General features: G+C 40.1%; 1 protein-coding gene across 8 annotated transcripts in view, besides 1 other annotated feature; it reads right to left on the bottom strand.

The window, feature by feature from the left end:
• PLEKHH2 (pleckstrin homology, MyTH4 and FERM domain containing H2) overlaps window positions 1–20,890 on the bottom strand; it is a 130,728-nt gene that overhangs the window by 6,740 nt on the left and 103,098 nt on the right. For 4 of the 8 annotated variants that reach the window (NM_172069.4, XM_017003351.3, XM_024452695.2 and 1 more), the window contains 7 exons: window positions 20,205–20,302; window positions 18,330–18,507; window positions 17,259–17,414; window positions 15,285–15,382; window positions 7,488–7,629; window positions 3,984–4,129; window positions 2,219–2,348 (listed from right to left, as the gene is read on the bottom strand). In NM_172069.4, coding sequence (NP_742066.2) covers window positions 2,219–2,348; window positions 3,984–4,129; window positions 7,488–7,629; window positions 15,285–15,382; window positions 17,259–17,414; window positions 18,330–18,507; window positions 20,205–20,302 — 948 coding nt within the window. Of the gene's footprint in view, window positions 1–2,218; window positions 2,349–3,983; window positions 4,130–7,487; window positions 7,630–15,284; window positions 15,383–17,258; window positions 17,415–18,329; window positions 18,521–20,121; window positions 20,303–20,890 lie in introns of those variants that run through there. The other 4 variants (XM_047443340.1, XR_001738621.2, XR_001738620.2 and 1 more) reach the window with 4 other exon arrangements.
• Window positions 14,774–15,015: a silencer, noted in NCBI's record as "fragment chr2:43973372-43973613 (GRCh37/hg19 assembly coordinates)". NCBI's record gives its function as "represses an EF-1alpha promoter that drives an FKBP-Casp9 reporter gene in an ReSE screen in HepG2 liver carcinoma cells {active_cell/tissue: HepG2}" and the evidence as "EXISTENCE:reporter gene assay evidence [ECO:0000049][PMID:32094911]".

The following is a 20,890-nucleotide window of genomic DNA, read 5'->3' as shown; positions in this document are numbered from 1 at the left end:
AACTATTTCCCTTAAATTTTACAAAACAATGTCAAGACTATAGATATAAAACTGGAATGAATGTTGGGTTATTTTATATAATAAAACTTGCTAGCATCTCATATATACAAAACCCTGAGTTAGAAACTGTCTACTGAGGGCTGATTTGCAAAGGATAGGGAGAATTCAATTCAAAAGGATGCCCTTCAACTCTAGTGTCCACTGACAGGTGAATGGATAAACAAAATGTGGTATATATATACCTACAGTGGAATGTTATTCTGCCTCAAAAGGGAAGGAAATTTTGACACATGTTACAACATGGATGAACCTTGAAGACATTACACTAAGTGAAATAAGCCAATAACAAAAGCACAAATATTATATGATTTCTCTTACCTGAAGTTCCTAAAGTAGTCAAATGCATAGAGACAGAAAGTAGAGTGGCAGTTGCCAGGGCTGGGAGGAGGAGGGAGGACTGGGGAGTTAGGTACAGTTTCAGTTTGGGAAAATAAAAAAGTGTTTAGATGAATGGTGGTGACAGCAACACAACAATGAGAATGTACTTAATGCCACAGAACTATACACTTAAAAATGGTTACAATGGGCCAGATGCGGTGGCTCACGCCTGTAATCCCAGCACTTTGGGAGGCCGAGGCGGGTGGATCACTTCAGATCAGGAGTTCGAGACTAGTCTGGCCAAAATGGTGAAACCCTGTCTCTACCAAAAATATAAAAATTAGCTGAGCGTGGTGGTGTGCGCCTGTAATCCCAGCTACTTGGAAGGCTGAAGCGTGAGAATCGCTTGAACCTGGGAGGCGGAGGTTGCAGTGAGTCAAGATTGCACCACTGCACTCCAGTCTGGGTGACAGAGTGAGACTCCGTCTCAAAAAAAAAAAAAAAAAAAAAGGTTAAAGGGTAAATTTCATTATGTGTATTTTACCACACACAGAAAACAGGATGCCATGAAGCAACAAAGGAGGTGTCGCTTGTTATAAAGAAAGAAAAGTGAGCAAAAAAGATGCTTGTCACGTAATTTGAAAAGCAATATTATTATTTAATAATATTTTGTGCCAGCAAGCACATTTTATCAGAACAGAAAAGGGTATTTAATATTACTTCCAATGCTGAAGTTAGAATTAAAATCCATGCTGCTCTACAGTTCAAATCTATTCCTTGTAATTTTAAAAAGTAACGTTCAACTTCCCGTAAGTACATTAATTTTATAGATGTTTAAGAATACTAACTTTATCATCTTTTTCTTAATTAGTATACAGCTTTCAGTTCCACTAGAAAAAAATTAATTCTCACCTATCAATAATATAGTCACTCATAGAATCAGAGTTAGAAGATACCTTAGATTTTACTTTTCTAATCTAAGTATTTCATTAACAGATGAGGAAAAGTGAGGTCCAGAGAGGTAACCTGACTTGCCCAAAGTTGCACAGCTATTCAGCAATATTTATTAAGTGATAATTATTAATTACGTGCAAAGCACTACAGTAGGTACAAGAGGAAGATTTTAGGATCAGTGAGTTTATAGTTTCAAGGAGCATGCAATTTAATAGTGAGTATAAAACAAACACACAGAAAAATATAACACAAGGCAAGATGTATCTTAAGAGCCTGAGAAAGTACAAAGAGACATGTTTCAACAGAAAGAAAAGGAATCAAAAGGCATAATTTTTCCCTTGGGGAAAGGGCTGGCCATCCCTGGGCAGGGTGGGTCTCCTTCCTCAGTGTTCCTGCAGCAGTCTGTTCATGTGACTCATAGTGATATTTGCCATACAGTGGTTTGTTTATAGGCCTGTTGTTACAAAGTAAAATAGTCCTGGAAGTTCATGTACAATCCATCTGAAACAATAGGTTATGTATCCCTAGAGCTTAGCTCAATGTTTAGCAGACAGAACTTAGTAAATACTAATGAGCAAATGAGTGACAGAGTAAACATGTGCATGGATGAATGAATGAACAGAAGAATGCAGAGTTCAGCTGTGGTTTAGGACTCATGATTCACCTAATGAGTCCAAGAAATGATTTAGGGTGGGAAAAGTTGGGCAGAGAGGAAAAGATAGAGAAGCTTTTCTGCCCTTTCTCTAGTGTCTCTTCATTGTTTTCTTTACATTATTGGATATTTCTTCATTTTTTACAAAAGCCAAGGATACTAAGTCTGGGGTAAATCTGGTCAACTATGTACACAAAGGTTTTCATTATGCATCTCTCTCCCATTCTTTCTTACTTTTGCAAGAAACAACTTGGCACCAAAGAATGGCCACTTCCTGGCTACTGTCAAATAAATGCGCACACAGTCAGCAGCACTGTGTCCCCGGAGGGCCATCCATCTGGTTGAAAGTCGCTGGCAAAGCTGCCTAAAAAAAAAGAAAAGAACAAAAACAAAAACACTAAAGCAAAAACATAAACAGTGTGTCATAGTCTTAAGATAAAACTCTCCTTGAGCCAATCCTAAGCATAACTGTGATCCCTAGGCATAACCCAGGTAAAGATTTTGTGACTCTCATCACACCACTGTCCATCACTTGTCCTTTCTGGAATATTCCTTTCACCAAATTCTCATACTATTCGTGTTTTCGGCATGAACTAGGTACCCACAGCAGGTCCATTTTTAAAATCTGAATATCTACCATCAAAACTTAGCGTAAATTAGTTTAAAAGATAATTTCTCATGGGAATATTTTCATTTTAAAAGAAAAGTACAGGCCCGGTGCAGTGGCTCACGCCTGTAATCCCAGCACGTTGGGAGGCCGAGGCGGGAGGATCACCTGGGGTCAGGTGTTTAAGACCAGCCTGGCCAACGTGGTGAAACCCCGTCTCTACTAAAAATACAAAAATAAGCCAGGCATGATGGCGGGTGCCTGTAATCCCAGCTACTCGGGAGGCTGAGGTGGGAGAATCACTTGAACCCGGGAGGTGGAGGTTGCAGCGAGCCGAGATCACCCCATTGCACTACAGCCTGGGTGGCAGAGCAAGACTCTGTCTTAAACAAAAACAAAAACAAGTAGTAGAGCCCAAAGATGAATCCCTGATGGTAGAATTTTAGGTCCTCCCACCCCTGGCTTGGAGAGATGTTAGATGCAAGGTGAAACTTGTCAAATCAAATTACAAAGGCAAGCACTTATTCTACATAGACAAAAGGCTGATCTTAAATGTTTCTATTTTGGAAAAGCTCACGATAAATTGGATTTGCCTCTATTTCTAAATCTAATCAGCTTCTCTTTATATATTCTCTGAAATTGAAACTCCAAATTGAGGTAAATTAGAAACTTTTATATTAAAAAGTCTTTTGTAAGAAGATAGTTTATTTTTATTTCAACTTATTCATAATAGAATATACAAAATATAATTTTTTGGTATGTACTTCATAAAATTAAACATATTATTGGCCAATTTTTTTCTCTTATTTATTATCAGGGTTGTTCTGGACAAGAATGAAAAAGATCAATTAAAAAGTACATCTAAAGCCTTTTTTTTTAATTAAAGAAAGTTTAAATATAGATTCTAAAGCTTCTGGGCTTATCTTAAATAAAAATATTGGCTGGGCACAGTGGCTCACGCCTCTAATCCCAGCACTTTGGGAGGCTGAGACAGGCAGTTCATGAGGTCAGGAGATCGAGACCATCCTGGCTAACACGGTGAAACCCCATCTCTACTAAAAATACAATAAATTAGCTGGGTGTGGTGGCGGGCGCCTGTAGTCCCAGCTACTTGGGAGGCTGAGGCATGAGAATGGCTGTACCCGGGAGGCGGAGCTTGCAGTGAGCCGAGATTGGGCCACTGCACTCCAGCCTGGGCGACAGAGCGAGACTCCGTCTCAAAAAAAAAAAAAAAGAAAGAAAAAAAATCTATAATCTCCTGTGGCTCAATCATGTTAAAAAAATCTTGAGAAAGCTGTCCAAATGTTTTTCACCTTTAAAATTTGAACACAAAAATATTACCAAAAAACTAGTATGACCCTACCCTATAAAGAGTTACAAAGATTTCCTTACCTTAACTGCTCTTCAGAACAGCCATCTCTATACCTTTTAGGATAAAATTTCTCTATGACTTGCTTTAGAGTTTGATTCACTTTGCACTGATTGGTAACATGCCCTGCTGGAGTTGAGAAAGGTCTTTCAAAATCTCCAATCTCTACCTAATTGGAAATCCACAAAAGTGAAAATATATTGAAAAGAGTTTTAAGACAGAAAATCAGTTAGTTTTATTTTTTCTAAACATTCTTTTTTAACACATAATACATAAATCTATTTGTCATGATTATGTGATTATGAACTTCATAATCATATGTAGGAATTTTTATAAATTACATTTGAATTATAATTTTTTTTTTGAGACGGAGTCTCACTCTGTCACCCAGGCTCATTGCAACCTCTGCCTCCCAGGTTCAATTGATTCTCCTGCCTCAGCCTCCTGAATAGCTGGGACTACAGGCATATACCACCACGCTTGGCTAATTTTTGTGCTTTTTGTAGAGACGGGGGTTTCACCATGTTGGCCAGGCTGGTCTCGAACTCCTGACCTCAAGTGATCCGCCTACCTTGGCCTACCAAAGTGTTGGGATTGCAAGCGTGAGCCAGAGCCACCGCCTGGCTTGAATTCTAATTTTGAAAAAAATCTGTAATTTAAACATTTGAGTTCCATTTCTACATTAACCTTCCTAGTTTACTATCACCATCTAGTAGTACTTGCTAAAGGTCACTACTTTGTTATTGTCTGCAAGGACAATTTTTCATTTTTAAGGCACTATTTTAATTGCTGATAATAAGATGAAATAGATGTTAAAAATAAAAGGCAACAGACGGGTGTGGTGGCAGGCACCTGTAATCCCAGCTACTCGGGAGGCTGAGGCAGAAGAATCGCTTGAACCCAGGAGGCGGAGGTTGCAGTCAGCCGAGATCATGCCATTGCCCAGCCTGGGTGACAGAGCAAGACTCCATCTCAAAAAAAAAAGTTATAAGAAATTTCAAAAAACTATTAGTTGGACTTTTTGAGGGTCTCTCCTGAATGTAATGGGAGCAAGAACCATATTCTCATTACTTTGTTCCTAGATTTTCTCCATGTTATTGTGTTCATACTCTCATTCTACTAGCATTAATCCCGGGAATAGAGTCCTTCCCAGGATATACAGTTGTGTTCGGAACCACAATTTATACTTTATTGGAGCATGAAGTTCAAGGTAGGGAGTATTAAGGGAATGTTGAGGCTGGAGGGGCAGGCAGAGTTCAGATCTTGAAAGTCCTTGCATGTAAAAAAGGAATGACAGAGCTAGATTCACATTTTTGCTGTATCTCTATCCCAGTTACTAGTGCTGCCTAATAAAGCTCCATGCACAGGTGACATTGTGCCAGTTTCCAGGCTCAGCCCTTAAGAAAACAGCAGTTTCCACTTCTTGTCTATCTTCTGGGACATTGTTGCTGTCACCCATTCACCATTCTTGGAGGAAGCACAAGCAGTCATATACATGAAGAGACCACGTGTAAGGTGCTCCAGCTGACAGTCCCAGCAGAAGTCCCCACAAACAGCCGGCATCAATCAGCCACCAGACATGACTGAAGGAGCCTTCAAATGATTCCAGCCCTCAGCCATAGAGTGACAACTGGCTCTCAAGCTATGTCAGCTGATACCACCGGAAGCAGAGACACACACTGTCCCTTCACATCCCTGCCCAAATTACTGTCTTAAGTAGCTGAGTTTTGGAGTCATTAGTTATGTAGCAATAGATAAGTGGAAAAAATCCCTCTAGCATTTGTGTGAAGGATAAATTTGTGAGGGACCAGACCAGAGAAAGGCACACTACTTAGGAGCCTGCTGCAGGACAGCAGGCAGTATGAGACAATGATCCGAACCTTAGCAACAGAAGTCAGCATACAGAGGAGAGAACAGACTAAAACATCCCTAAGAGTTCACATTCGCAGGATGTGGTGACTGGTGGAAAAGGGCCAAAGTGAGGGAAGAGTCATGATAATTCCCAGGTGTGAAGCTTGTTTGGGGGACCGGGTGGAGGCAGTATCATAAAGAGGAGACAGAATGTGAACACAGAGGAGGGACGATGATTAGTTTGGTTTTCAATATGCTGATTTTGGCTGGGCGCGGTGGCTCACGCCTGTAATCCTAGCACTTTGGGAGGCCAAGGCAGGTGGATCACTTGAGGTCAGGAGTTCGAGACTAGCCTGGCCAACATGGTGAAACCCCGTCTCTACTAAAAATACGAAAATTAGCAGAGCATGGTGGTGAGTGCCTATAATTCCAGCTACTAGGGAGGCTGAGGCAGGAGAATCGCTTGAACCCGGGAGGTGGGGGTTACAGTGAGCCAAGATTGTGCCACTTCACTCCAGCTTGGGCAAAAGAGGGAAACTCTGTCTCAAAAAAAAAAAAAAAAAAAAAGTTGATTTTAAGGAGCCCATAAAAAAACTACGAACTGAAGAAAAAAGATCTGGGAAACACTGGCATAGGTGGTGCATAGAATAAAAAGAATGATTGAGATGTCCTGGGACAGAGTGTAGCGTGAAGAGCCATAGGCCAAAGACCCTGGGGAATCTAAGCCTTGGTCCAGATGCCATATGGCAGAGTTGCTTTAACATTTTCCTTAATTAACCTAGGCAAAGACTTGGGTGTGGTTGAGACTATGGGTTGCATCTTATGACCATTCTCTCCTTCTTAAGAAAAACCTTAAATTTAGCTGGGCACACTGCCACCCCGCTGAGACCACATTCCCCGGACTCCCTGGTAGGTAGTAGGCAAGGCCATGTGACTAAATTCTGATGGGAGAGACATGAATGGAGGCGTTCTATGCAGCTGCTGAGAAGTTTTCTCAAGTGCGGGAGAGCATGCCCTTTTCAGCCCTTCCCCCACCCTGAAGCCCGGAACACTGACATTAGCTGGCACTCTGGCAGACTCCCAGGACCATGGTGATGACACCCTAGGGATGGCAGAAGAGAGAACAGGATAAAGCCCATGACCCTAATGGCTTCACAGAGGTGCCAGGATGCCTCGCTCTCTATGTGAGCGCTAAATATACTTCTATTCTGATTAAGTCAGTATTAATTTTGTGTGTGTGTGTGTGTGTGTGTGTGTGTGTGTGTGTGTGTAGAAGATTGAACTTAATCCTAGCTGATACAATAGGCAAATAAAAGAAAGTGCTCTAGCCTTTTCAAGGACTTACTCCTATTAGACTACCAAGCGATTTCAGCATGACATCTTCAAGCCCACAGCTCTACACTCCAATTCCTTTATTAAATACAAAGCCTAGAGATATATTTTCAAAATAATTAAGAAACTGGGTTCTCTTTATGGAATACTGTCTCATTCTACATCATTGCAATTGTCAGCAGTTTAGAGGCAAACTATAATTATAGTGCCTGTAATTTTTAAGGTGCTAATTGTAGCAAAACGAATGTAAAGAATTATTGAAGTATATTATTTTACGTTTAATTCAGTGTAGAAATTAGTATCATATTATTTCAATATATTACTCCATATAACATGGAAGTTACCTGAGATAAAAGAGCTGCCATTTCTAATGCCAGATCTTTGTTCAGAGGAAAAAGTCCATTTATGATTTGATCATTTGTCTGATACATTAACAGCAACTTTTCTCTATCAGTCTCTCCACGAGCTTGCACTGAGAAATATAGTCTGTAAAAAAAAAGAGTAAATTTCTCATTAAATTATATTCTTACAAGGAAATAAAGTAAAGATAAATCCAGAGGACTGAGATGGGGTTGTTTTAACACAGTACTCTAAGTGGTATGAACTTAGACTACTACTGTCAATGACTTCTGTTTCTGTTCTATTTAGTACTTTCCGCAAAATAAGAAAAAACTGCTTTGAGGTTGAGGTTGAGAAGTGCTGGAGGTGGCGCTGAATCACATTAAATGTCAATTGTCTAAATACACCAATGAAAAGACAGAGATTGTCATAGTTGATAAAATATAAAACCCAACTATATGGCGCTTATAAGAAATCCACTTTAAATATAAATAAAAATATATAAGTAGAAGTAAAGGGATGAAGCAATTTTCTAGGCCTTGAAACACCAAATCCTTAAATGTTCCTGAGGAAGGACCTAAGACATCAAGCGAAATTAAATATGCCCTCTCTTGCAAGGAATGTATGATACAGGCCTTTATTTCAATGGGCTGTATAAACCCAGTCTTCAAAACCCTCATGATCCTTCCTGAATACCTTGGACACAGCACAGAAAAGGAAGTGAAGGTTTCAACTCAAAACTACCCCCAAATCAACATCAAATAAGGGGAGGGGGAGAAGGTGAGTTTTCTCTGGGAATCTGAAAGATAATATTTATAGATTTAAGTGTGTTTTGACTTTTTGGCCACAATCTGATAAGCAGCTTTAGGGGCTCAAAAATAGTTTACATGTTATCACTATTACTCACTGAAACACAACATGGCTTTTGTCTGCCTAGGGGGGTCTTCATCAAATCAGTGACTCTCTTTATTTATTCACTGTGTCATTTATTCATATGTGAGATTTGTGGGGCTCTGACTTCAGGCTGCAGATCAGGCACAGGTGCTGTAACGGCTCTAAATGCTGTGACAATGGGGTGGGTGAGCAACATCTTGACACACCTGAATACTGCCATGACAACACAGTGGCTGGAAAAGAGAGATTTAGATACAGTAACTGTTAGGTGTGTGCTCAGTTTGGCTATAACTTTGCATTTTCAGCCTTTTCTTCCCCCTACACACTTGTGGGAGAGGACACACCCCTATCATTTACAGTATCTCTCCCAGTAATTCTCTCAAATAGCAGGGAAGGGGAGGGCAGCAGGTCTGAATCTCTGGGCAAGCATGGGTGGGTATACTTTGAAAAGCTCCTCCTACCCCATGATTCTATTCATTCTTTCCTCTTTACCCAGTTTACAAATCAGAAAAATCCTAAGCTCCATTTTAATCTATGATGACTACACAAAGACAAATAATGCAGGATTATATTGTTAAACTGGTAGTAGAATATGGCTGGGCAACAGAAACAGATGACAAATCCAAAATGATATCAGCAAAGCCGTATGAAACAAAGAGAAGAAAATTTAAGATGAAAGCCTTTCTTTTTGGCATGCTTACATTTGTATGCATAGCTTATTCTCCCTACTTGAAGTTAGGAAGTATATCATACTCATCACTGTAATCCATTAGAGTTTAGCTAAGTGTTACCACTGGAAGGTTTGGTAATATGGCTAAGGGGAGAAAAAGAACCAAATGGTTACAGGCAAGAAGAGCTTAAGTGCATTTTCTCTTATTCCCAGCAGGCAACACAATTGAGCCTGACAGGGGAAAAGGAAGTATCACTAGCAAAAAAAAAAAAAAAGAGAGAGAGAGAGAAACAATACTGGACATGAACCATGGGCTCAAATCCCTAATGAAACAGTTTTGGCTCCAATAGCTATCCAGGGATTTGGGGAGAATTTGAAGAGGAACAAAAATGACCAAGAAGTCATAAAAATCAAATCCATGGAGCTTGAATAGGAAAGGCACTAGAGGAATGTGATCTAAGCCTCTCACAATATGGCCAGCTTTCAGCTGCTTCCAAATCCTAAAGAGGCCTGCAGCAGACAGAATGGGCTTCCATGACAGCAGGCAAGGCTTAGATTAGCTCGCGGGGGTATTCCCAAATCTCCACCTCCTCATTGGACACCCAGGAAGCTGAATACTGTGGGATGGAAATTGCGTCACTGTGGACCAGTACCACTACGCAAATATACTGCTTCCAAATTCAGCAGGGCTCTCAGCACCACTGGGCGATCCTTTTGCTTGCCCTCAACTGGATCCATATTCATTCTTCAGAGCATTTATTTCCTACTGTTGCCCTTCCCATCCTCTTGTAAACTTACTGGGGGGAAAGCCTGCAATCTCTCTCTGTTCACCCTTCCTTCACTCCTCAGTCCACCATGGTCTACTGGTTATACTCTACTAAAACTGCAATTGTTCTCTTCCTGCCTCAGTGGCGTCCAACTTCCAGTCATCTGCTCAGAAGTCACCACTCTGCAAAGTCTTCCTCTATGTCCCTACAACCTCTTGTACGTATGCGTCATACTCATGGTAACGACAAATATCTACAAAGCATTTACTATGTGGCAGGCTCTGAACCAAGTGCTTTACAATTGCCAACATTTAATCCTTCAGACAACCCTAGAGGTGGGAGTCATTTTGACCTCCGTTTCACATACAGGGTACCTGAGGCACAGAGATGTTAAGTGACTTGCTCAGGGCCACATAGTAAGTGGTAGAGCCAGGATTCTAACCCAGGCAGCCTGTCTCCAGCCCATGTTCTTCACTCCTGTGCTACATTCTTCCTGTTACAGCACTGATTGCATTGCTAAGACTTCATGTCTGCCTCTCCCTATAAACTGGAAGATTCTAAAGGGCAAGGAAACTCTATTCACCTTGGAATTCCCAAGGCTTCAAACAAGTCTTGGCACTGGTAGATGGCATGAATGGACAAATAAATGGTACGTGAGAATTGCTAAGTACAGGAATTATTTGCCAAAAATCCTGAAGAATTCCCTTTCATAGTCTTAGGCAAGTGACTTAACTCTCTAAAGCTTCAGTTACCTCATCTGTGAGATGGAAATAATAATAGTACCTCAAAGGGTTGTAAGGATTATGTAAGAATGCATACAAAGAGTTAAGAATAAGGCCTGATGTTAGGTAAATGTTCAACAAATGAGGGTTAGTAGTAGTAGGAGTACCAGTAGTAGTATTCCCCAGAGGTCTCTGGAATCATGAGAGTCTCTCTCTCTCTTTTTTTTTTTTTGAGACAGAGTCTCGCTCTGTCACCCAGACTGGAGTGCAGTGGCATGCAGTGGCACGATTTGGCTCACTGCAACCTCTGCCTCCTGGGTTCATGCGATTCTCCTGCCCCAGCCTCCCATGTAGCCGGGACTACAGGCGCATGCCACCATGCCCAGCTAATTTTTGTATTTTTAGTAGAGACGGGGTTTCACCATGTTGGCCAGGCTGGTCTTGAACTCCTCACCTCAGGTGATCCGCCTGCCTAGGATCCCAAAGTGCTGGGATTACAGGCGTGAGCCACGGTGCCTGGTCCACATGAGAGTCTCTTGATCCTGGAATTTTTTTTGGTGTGAACATAGCTAGGAGAAATGGGATAAACTCCATTTCTTGGCTTAAACTTCTGGCTATGGCCAGTTTTCTTTTGTTAAAAACATGCCTTGGCTCTTACAACTTCAAAAACACAGTGAGAAATCAAATTAAATAAGAAGCTTAACTATGAATAGAATTTAAATGTTAGTTGCCAACGGTTGTCTATGAGAACAAGTTCAAAACCTGTTAATTAGATCTTTCATACCTGAATCTAAATAATTAAAATTCCATCACTTGTTAAGTATCCATTTAAAATTCCATGATAAAGAGAATTGATATTTTAGCTTTGTTTGTTACCCTGCTGCTTGGCAGATGAAGAATCAGGTCCTTGGCTGTGTGACAGGTCACAGCAAGGTTCCCTCCTAACTGTATCACTAGAAATTAGGGCTCATTGTCTAAGCTACTTATAAACACCGGCAAAGCACGGCCATGTTTAGAAACATTACTTTCTCATAGCTGTGGCTATCCAGCCATTTCAGAGTTCTGTTAAAAATCAAGCCTTTCAGTTGAGTTAATTTTTTTCCTGCTGTCAAAGACATTGTCATGAGGTTTTACTTTTAAACAAGGTAATCATCATCTGTTATTCACAATTCTCTCTTTTAAAAAAAAATTTTTGAAGAGATTTATTCTGAGCCAAATATGTGTGACCATGGCCTGTGACACAGCCCTCAGGAGGTCCTGAGAACATGTACCCAAGGTGGTCGGGGAGCTGCTTGGTTTTACGCATTTTACGGAGGCTGAGACTTCAATCAAATAACTTAAGAAATCTATTGGTTTGGTCTAGGAAGGCAGAACAACTTGAAGTGAAGACTCCACAACCTCTTATGGCAACCCAGACATTCCTTTCTATTGATTCCAGGTCTTTGGATAAACTCAACCAACTGTCAACCAAAAAATTTTTATTCACGACTCTCTTTGTCCTTCCTTGTGATGTTTGTTAGACTTGAAGCATTATTTTTACCTGTCTTTCATATCCAAATTTTATCCAAATTTCACTTCAGTTCCAATCATAGCCATCATACTCAGAGTTGGTATGTATTAAGCATTCATAAGGTTTAGATTATTAGGAATAGTCTTGGCTGGGCGCAGTGGCTCATGCCTGTAATCCCAGCACTTTGGGAGGCCGAGGCGGGCAGATCACCTGAGGTCAGGAGTTTGATACCAGCCTGGCCAACATGGTGAAAACCAGTCTCTACTAAAAATACAAAAATTAGCTGGGCATGGTGGCAGGCGCCTGTAATCCCAGCTATCTGGGAGGCTGAAGCAGGAAAATCGCTTGAACCTGGGAGGCAAAGGTTGCAGTAAGCTGAGATCGTGCCATTGCACTCCAGCCTGGGCAGCAAGGGTGAAGTTCTGTCTCAAAAAAAAAAAAAGAATGCCTGAACCTCTTCTCCATAAATGTCTTTGGCAGGCCAGGTCCAGGAGCTGGCTCCTTCCACAAAGGCTGAGGCCAAGAGGCAGGGGCAGCAATGAGGACCGTTAGGTCAGTGCTTCTCAAAACCCAGCACGTGTAAGAATTATCTGGAGAGCTGTCAAAACAGGGACTCCTGGGCTCCACCCCCGGAAATTCTGACTCAGTGGGTCTGAAGTGGGGCCTAATGATTTGCATTTCTAACATGTTCCACGTGGTCCTGAGGCTGCTAGTGTTGGGCCCACGTTGGGAACTACTGCTCCAGATTAAACAGAACTACAATAATAATCTAGAAGGTCCAAATATTCTAGCCTGCTGTCCTTCCCAGTCACCAAAGGGCCACTGATACCTTGATAAAGTTTGCCCTCAAGGGAAACAGGTCCCTCCAGGGATGAAGCCTATTAGATTTCCAATATCTATGCAATATTGCTTATCTCTAGGAATGCATGATTTTAAAATCTTAGACACCAAAGATTAATAGTCACTTTCTTATTACTTGAACCTCTGGCAAATCATCACAGCTCATGAGCCCCTGAATAAAGAAGCTCCAGTGTTCACAACCACCATTTATTCAGATCAACAGAGTCTGTTCAAATACTGGGTGGCCCTTTAAGTGGCCAACTGGATGAGAGAAGAGCCCAAAATATGAATGTGCCATATTTATTTAACTGTTCTCCCTAGTAATAAACATGTGAGTGTCTGTCCCAAGTTTTTAACAAAAACATTGACAAAGAATATGACAAAAACATGACAAGGAAGATACTGTGACATACTGGAATACTCTGCCCACTTATCTGCATATTTCTGTGGGATAGACTATTAGAACAAGAAATTTTAAAGTGGATCAAAATTACATTCTTTATGTTGTACAGTGCCTTCAATTCTTACATTCCAATTTTAAGTCTGAACATCTTCCAAAAAGAGACCTCTGAGTACCACTCCAATAATTCCACCAGGCTCTGGGTCTGACATTTTATAGATTCCTTAATTTACAGGGTATAAGACTCAAATAAAACCAGCAAAATACCATTATTTTGTTATAATTAATGTGAGCTGGTCAGTTAACAGTGTTTATTAAGTACTACCTTTTGCTAATACATGAAAGAAATGAAAATATTTAAAAAGAAAGAAAGGAAATCTGGTTCCTGACTACATGCCAAAGTACATTACCATTTTATCTGTAGAGAAGGTGTGTGCTCCGGAGTCTCCGGCATTTTCTCAATTCTTGACACAAGCTAAGCAGCCTCCATCTACAGGCCTTTGAACATTCTTTTCTATGCATTTTGATGTTCCCACTTCCATCTCCCTCTGAACTTGGTATAAACATCATTTCCTCAAAGAAGCCTCCCGAGGTCTCCCGTCTAGGTCAGGCTCACTGTTGTGTGCCCTCACAGTACCTCTCTCTCTCTTCAGAGAACATACTGTGTCATTACACACTCATTAGAGTGAGGATATGCCCAACAATAGTCTTCCTCACTAACCCGTAGATTCCAAAAGATCAGGAACTGGGTCTGTCTGTATTTATTACAATTTTATTTATAGCATCCAGCTAAGTGATAGGCCTTACAGTTGAAGCTCGGTGAACACCGAGAGAGAGAGAGAGAGAGAGAGAGGGAGAGAGAGAGAGAGACAGAAAGAAAGAGAAAAATGAGAATGAAAGACTGAGAAGGAATAAATATGAGTATAAAGAATATATGACTTCCAAAAGACTGAGGCAAACATAGGACATAGGTATCTCCTCTTTTTTTTTTTTGAGACAGAGTCTCGCTTTGTCGTCCAGGCTGGAGTGCAGTGGTGCGATCTTGGCTCACTGCAAGCTCCGCCTCCCGGGTTCATGCCATTCGCCTGCCTCAGCCTCCCAAGTAGCTGGGACTACAGGTGCCCGCCACCACGCCTGGCTAATTTTTTGTATTTTTAGTAGAGATGGGGTTTCACCATATTGGCCAGGATGGTCTCGATCTCCTGACCTCGTGATCCACCTGCCTCGGCCTCCCAAAGAAACATAGGTATCTCTTCTTACTACAGATCTGTAGTAGGGTATTGAAGTATTCAGTCTTTATGAAAAATGTAATAATACTGTTAAAGGAAATTATGAAAGTGAAAAATGCATCCTTGTATCAACTACTCTAAGAGAGCAACTATTTTTTTCTGTAGTTTTTCTGATTGTGTGCGTGTGTGTGTGTGTGTGTATTTTTTGTTTGTTTTGAGACAGGGTTTCACTCTGTTGCCCAGGCTGGAGTGTAGAGTGCAGTGGCACAATCACGGCTCACTGCAGTCTCAACCTCCTGGGCTCAGGTGATTCTCCCACCTCAGCTGTCTGAGTAGCTGAGATTACAGGCACATGCCACCATGCCTGGCTAATTTTTTGTATTTTTAGTAGAGGCGGGGTTTTGCCATGTTGGCTCCCAAAGTGTTGGTCTTGAACTCCTGACCTCAGGTGATCTGCCCACCTTGGCCTCCCAAAGTGCTGGGATTATAGGCGTGAGCCACCGTGCTCAGCTGAGACCTAGTGTTTCTGATGTTTGTCTAAAAGCATATTTTCATAAAATATAATTCTTTATGACATTAAGAGACTAGAATTAGAAACAAAATTTTATGTGACAAGGTTTTTTTCCTATAGAAACAGAGTTATCATTTATAGAAAGACAAACTTACAAATAAATAACTTTTAAGGCATTCAATAGAAAGGTAAATAGTAGGTGCATTATTAGAACATATTGTATACTCATACTTTGGCATCTGGATGCAGTATTACACACCTGTTTTTGTATGTCAGACGAACAGTCCTTGTACCTTCACATTTTCCAGGCTGCTGTTCTTTGGAAGCCTGTTCCCATTTGGAAATAATGTCACAAATCTAGAAAGGAAGTGGAAAACTGAGATTTACAGTACTTTTCAAATCAACATTTTTTGAAGACAAGTGTGCTGCAGACTGAAATTTTTCAATTAATATGATCAAACCAAATATACTCAAGCTTTTTGTTTTCAGCCTCTGTGCGGCTCTGAGTTTAGTATGTAATTATAAATTGCTATTTGGTCCACTTATCCTTTTGGACACACATTAACTTTGGACTGTGGCCACGCATTTTTTACTCAAAAAGGAACTGTAATGTAGGACTGCCTGAAACTGGAAACAAGAAGATTCCAGGGATTTTTCCATGATTTGGTCACTGAAGAAGCAAGTTTTTCACCTTCCGAGTTCAAAAAGATTTTAATAACTAAAGTTATACCAAAGAAATTTGACATATAATTTATGGAAAGAGTCTAGACCCAGGTCTAGCTATTTGATTTTGGGTAACTCATTTCCCTCTCTAGGCCTCAGCTTTCTCATTTGCAAAATAAGTGCATTATTTCTCTAAGGTCCCTTGTGGTTCTGTAATTCTATTTATTTTTTTATTTTTCAAATTGAGATGGGGTCTCACTCTGTCACCCAGGCTGAAGTACAGTGGCACGATCTCAGCTCACTACAACCTCCGCCTCCTGGGTTCAAGTGATTCTCCTGCCTCAGTCTCCCGAGTAGCTGAGACTACAGGCACCCGCCGCCATGCCTGGCTAATTTTTTTGTATTTTTAGTAGAAATGGCGTTTCACCACATTGATCAGGCTGGTCTTGAACTCCTGACCTCAAATGATCTGCCTGCCTTGGCCTCCCAAAGTGCTGGGATTACAGGCGTGAGCCACCACACCCGGCCTAGTTCTATATATATTATTGCCATTACTAAATGGAAGCTCTATTAAAGTTATTTTACTATGATCTGGAAAAGATTCTTTTAAAATCCCTCCCTTTTCATTTCCACAGGTCTGTTTTCTTTCTTTCTTCCTTTCTTTTCTTTTTCTTTTTTTTTTTTTTTTTTTTGTGAGACAGTCTTGCTCTGTCACCCAGGCTGGAGTGCAGTGGCGTGATCACGGCTCACTGCAGCCTCGACCTCATGGGCTCAAGAGATTCTAGTGCCTCAGCTTCCAGAGTAGCTGGGACTACAGGTGTGTGGCACCATGCCTGGCTAATTTTTGTATTTTTAGTAGAGATGGGTTTTTGCCATGCTGCCCAGGCTGGTCTCAAACTCCTGGCCTCAAATGATCCACCTGACCCGGCCTCCCAAAGTGCTTGGATTACAGGCGTAAGCCACTGCACCCGGACACAGGTCTGTTTCCTAAACCATTTTTCATTTCCAGCTCAGGCCTTCCCTAACTCCCAATGCTGAACTTAAACTCTCTCTTTCTGTGCAAAGTTCACAGCACTCTCAAAACTTTCATCACTTTCAACCCTAGTTCAAGGTTATCTGTGTATAAAGCTGCTCTTCCGTAAGCAAATTTTAAGTTCACTGTGGGCAGGGACTATTTCTGGTCCTTTTGTATTCCCCACAGAGTCCAGCCAGCCCCTGGGATACAATAAAATAGCTTAGTAAGTATTGCTGAATAAATGGAAAAAAATGGAAAGCCATTTTATTAGCACTTCTACATATCTACCCTTATTATCCTAATACTTAGAGTATCATTTCCATTACTAACACCTTTCCTCTCTTTAATATGGAATGTGTATATGTAGAGATTGTGTATTAAGAATTCTATGGGTTTAACAAAGTCCTGCATTTTTTTTTTCTTATCGTGGAGATTAGATTGGTTAAAGTTTTGGAAAACTCCTGAATTAAACTTCTTGCAAAGTTTACTCTTCTTGTAAAGAGTAGCTTCTTTGCTGTTCGTTGGGCTTGGCTCCTGAAAAGGACTTGGTTTCACCTTGATGTTTCCTTGAAGACAATGCTCTAAATCTCTGCCAGAAGGATCGTCAGTGAACAACGCAAATCCAGACTGCGCTGGTTTCCTCATTCCTGTGTCCTGGTTCAAAGTATTCAAAAATTCTTCCACTGTGGTAGATGCGTCAAAACCAACTACCTAGACAGAAATAACAAAGCAGTTCTCTTAATAAGAAATATATAGTTTCAAACTGAGATTTTAAGGATGAAACAGAGCATACTTGATGCATGATTAATGATAACATATTTTTCTAGGTGCTTCAACTTTTTTTCCCAAAGCTCCTCTGGAGAAAATTAACAAAGTTACCTCATAAATTAGCTTGCTGAAGAACTCAAAAATCTCAGCTTCAGCCAACAGACATGAATCCAAAATAGAATGATCAGTTGACAGCTATAAATATTTTGCAAAGATATTATGCTTACCCATTAGAAGCAAACCAAGAACTATAGTACAATATGCAATCTTTAATCAAATGGAAAATAAACAAGAAATATGTTTAAATAAATGAACACCTTTATGTATTTAATGTTTGTTTCTTTAATAGGCAGTTAAGTATCTGAATTCTGTGATAAAAGGCATATGGCTACAAAGACTAATTGCTAGTTTGGGAACATGTTTGCTTCAATTAATAAGCAGGCATCTAGATCTGAGAACTGGAAGGGCCCAGTGAAGTTTTCCCAGATAATTTCTGAGATTTGGAGATTTTAAAAGAGACTAAAATTGTACACACCCAGTATCAGTAATTATTTCCACACCTAGGAGGTGTACTGATGGGAAAAAGCCCCAACCGAAGTGTTTTTTATTTTTCTGTCCATCAGAATCATAATGGCAGTGAAGCCCATCCCTTATTTGGTTCAGTATGGATTTGTTATTAGTGTGAATCCTTTATAGCAAAACTGTTTCAAAACTCAGCTGTTCTGATAGTAAATCTAATATATTTGCATGTTTGTCACTGCCAGGTGCTGACAAAAGTAAGCAGAGAAGTCTCTGTTCCCTATAACAGAGGTTGTACATAGGATTGTTGGCTAAGCATATTTTCATCAGGTAACCTACCTGGTATATCCCATTCATGAAGTGCACAGGTATACTAAAGGGCAAAGAATGGTGATAAGGGTTTCGGAGAAGAGTTGAAAGAATTTCCATCCTTGAGGGTCTTGCTTCTCTGTCACCATTTTGTTGCGTTCTTTCTACACAACGCTGGCAGTAAATGGCATATTTTCCAAATTCTGTCCTGTAATACAAAACTTAAGATAAAATCTAAGAATAAATTTAATTGACAACCTAATATGTGCAACCATTAAGAAAGCATCCGTGTACATTATCACAATGTATTAGGCTAATTTTGACAGTAACTTTTTTTGAATGATAATACTAAACTGCTGTAACTTTCCTCAAATTCCAACTTCTTTATTTTTGTAACTGCCTCACTCAAACCTCCCCACAAAGCATTCTTCATCTTTACTGTATTATTATAGTCACAAGCTGAATTTAAAATTACCAGTCACAAGTCAATATACAGTGATTTAATATTAACAAATATAAAGAAAGCAATTGCATGAAGAATAGTACAGAGTAACTTATAAAAACATGTTACAGCAGAATTCTCTTCTGAAGAACATGGTGGTTAACGCTTGACCACTAAACAAGGTAAAAAAAAAAAAATGTCTTCAGGCCAGGCATGGTGGCTCATGCCTGTAATCCCAGCACTTTGGGAGGCTGAAGTGGGCAGATCACCTGAGGTCGAGAGTTCAAGACCAACCTGGTCAACATGGTGAAAACCTGTCTCTATTGAAAATACAAAAAATTAGCCGGGGGTGGTGGCGCACGCTTGTAGTCCCAGCTACTTGGGAGGTTGAGGCAGGAGAATCACTTGGACCTTGGAGGTGGAGGTTGCAGTGAGCCAAGAACATGCCACTGCACTCCAACCTAGGTGACAGAGTGAGACCCTGCCTCAAAAAAAAAAATCTTCAAACAAAAATAAAAATATGTTTTCTTTCTTTATTCTATAAAAAACACTGCATTTGTGAAAAACTGTTAAGCATTAGAAAAACTCATTAGAATAAATAAATGTAAAAGTTGGATAGAAATCTTATTTGTCCTTGTTTGTTATACATAAATTTTACTGCTTATTCAAGCAGATTGATAACACCTGTCAAATATGTTTGTATTCAAGTGCCCTGTAGGCAGATCCTTGGTCTCGGGGCTCCTCAGTGACTGCAACTGAAATTACCTGACCTTGGTCACAGATGACCTTGATCACAGAGGCCCCACAATGTATTATGAACTGTAGAATATTTTCCTATTGCTTCCAAGTTGGGTTTGTTTATTTGTTTGTTTCTTTTACTGTGTTTGCTTTAGTCCAAGAGTTTAAGCAACCTGACACAAACCTCTTGGTGGACAAAATGACCCTGGATAAGCCTTGGCTGAGTGACCTGGGTCCCAATGTAAGAAAGCCATTCTGGAAGTTGAACTTTAAATGTGTTTTTCAAAGGAGTAACAATTCTGAAGTAATTCAAATACATACAATTAGAAAAGGAGGGAAGACCATGGGGGAAATTTTTCACATAAAAGAATTCAATGTGCAGAGAAATAGTAAAAGGGAAAACTAAGGAAACAAAATAGTTGCTTTTATTGAATGAACACCCACTAATGCTAAGTCATTCATACTTGAAATGCAAATGCACTTTTCACTTAAAAATATTCTCTGTCAGTTTTTCAAGTATTTATTGCAATCTTCCCTAAGAGATTTAACATAACAAAGGAAATATTTTCCTAGCTCCACATCAATGATAACCAAAGGCTTCCTGTACCAATATTTGTTTCATACATTCTTCTGAAAATGTACCTGGCAGATCGTTAAATACTTATGATTTATCGTAGACTTTCAGAGGCCACATAAACAGTTCAGCTGGCTAGTATTCTGCACACCTGGAATCTGCATTCCTCTTTAGGTGAAGCCTGAGGAGCCACAGGAAAGGATGATGGGGAAGGAAGAGCCCAACGCAGAGTGCCAAGAGCTGCCAGCCCTGGGCAGGGAGAAGCACCACAGGTTAGATACCACGTGCCAGTCAGAGATCCACATCTGAGTGAGTGCAATGGGCTGATGACAGTCTCTCTTAACCCAAAAACGTTTTGCTTCTTTCACATATGCATGATCTGTTTACAGCATTTATCATAGGTTAAAAACAAAAAACTCTACATTGGGTCAGATCTATGATCCATCTAGTTGTGTGTATGGTTATCTACAACTGAGGAACCAAGGCACAAGCAGACAAGGTGCTCCTTTTTGACGTTACACTCAAAGATTAGGAACATTGTTTCTTTTTTTTCACTTACGTATTTACTCATTCCTTGAAATACAAGTAATAGTTTTGAGAAACGCAGATTGCAGAACAGTAGAAAACACATGCCCTAAATCAAAACCAATCTACCTACACACACGTATGTATCTACATACCTAAATAAGGGACAAGTATAAAAATATTAACAGAGGTTATCTTTAGGTAGCAGCAATATATGTGATTTTTATTTTTCCTTCGCTCTGTTCTGTATTCTCCTTTCTATATTTTTTCAAGGAAGTATAAAACATGTTACAGCAGAATTCTCTTCTGAAG

Source organism: Homo sapiens, chromosome 2 (genome assembly GCF_000001405.40).
Source record: "Homo sapiens chromosome 2, GRCh38.p14 Primary Assembly".
In the NCBI taxonomy this organism is placed as follows: Eukaryota; Metazoa; Chordata; class Mammalia; order Primates; family Hominidae; genus Homo; species Homo sapiens.
The sequence above is the reverse complement of the archived record's forward strand: the minus strand, read 5'-3'. Positions and strand labels throughout refer to the sequence as shown.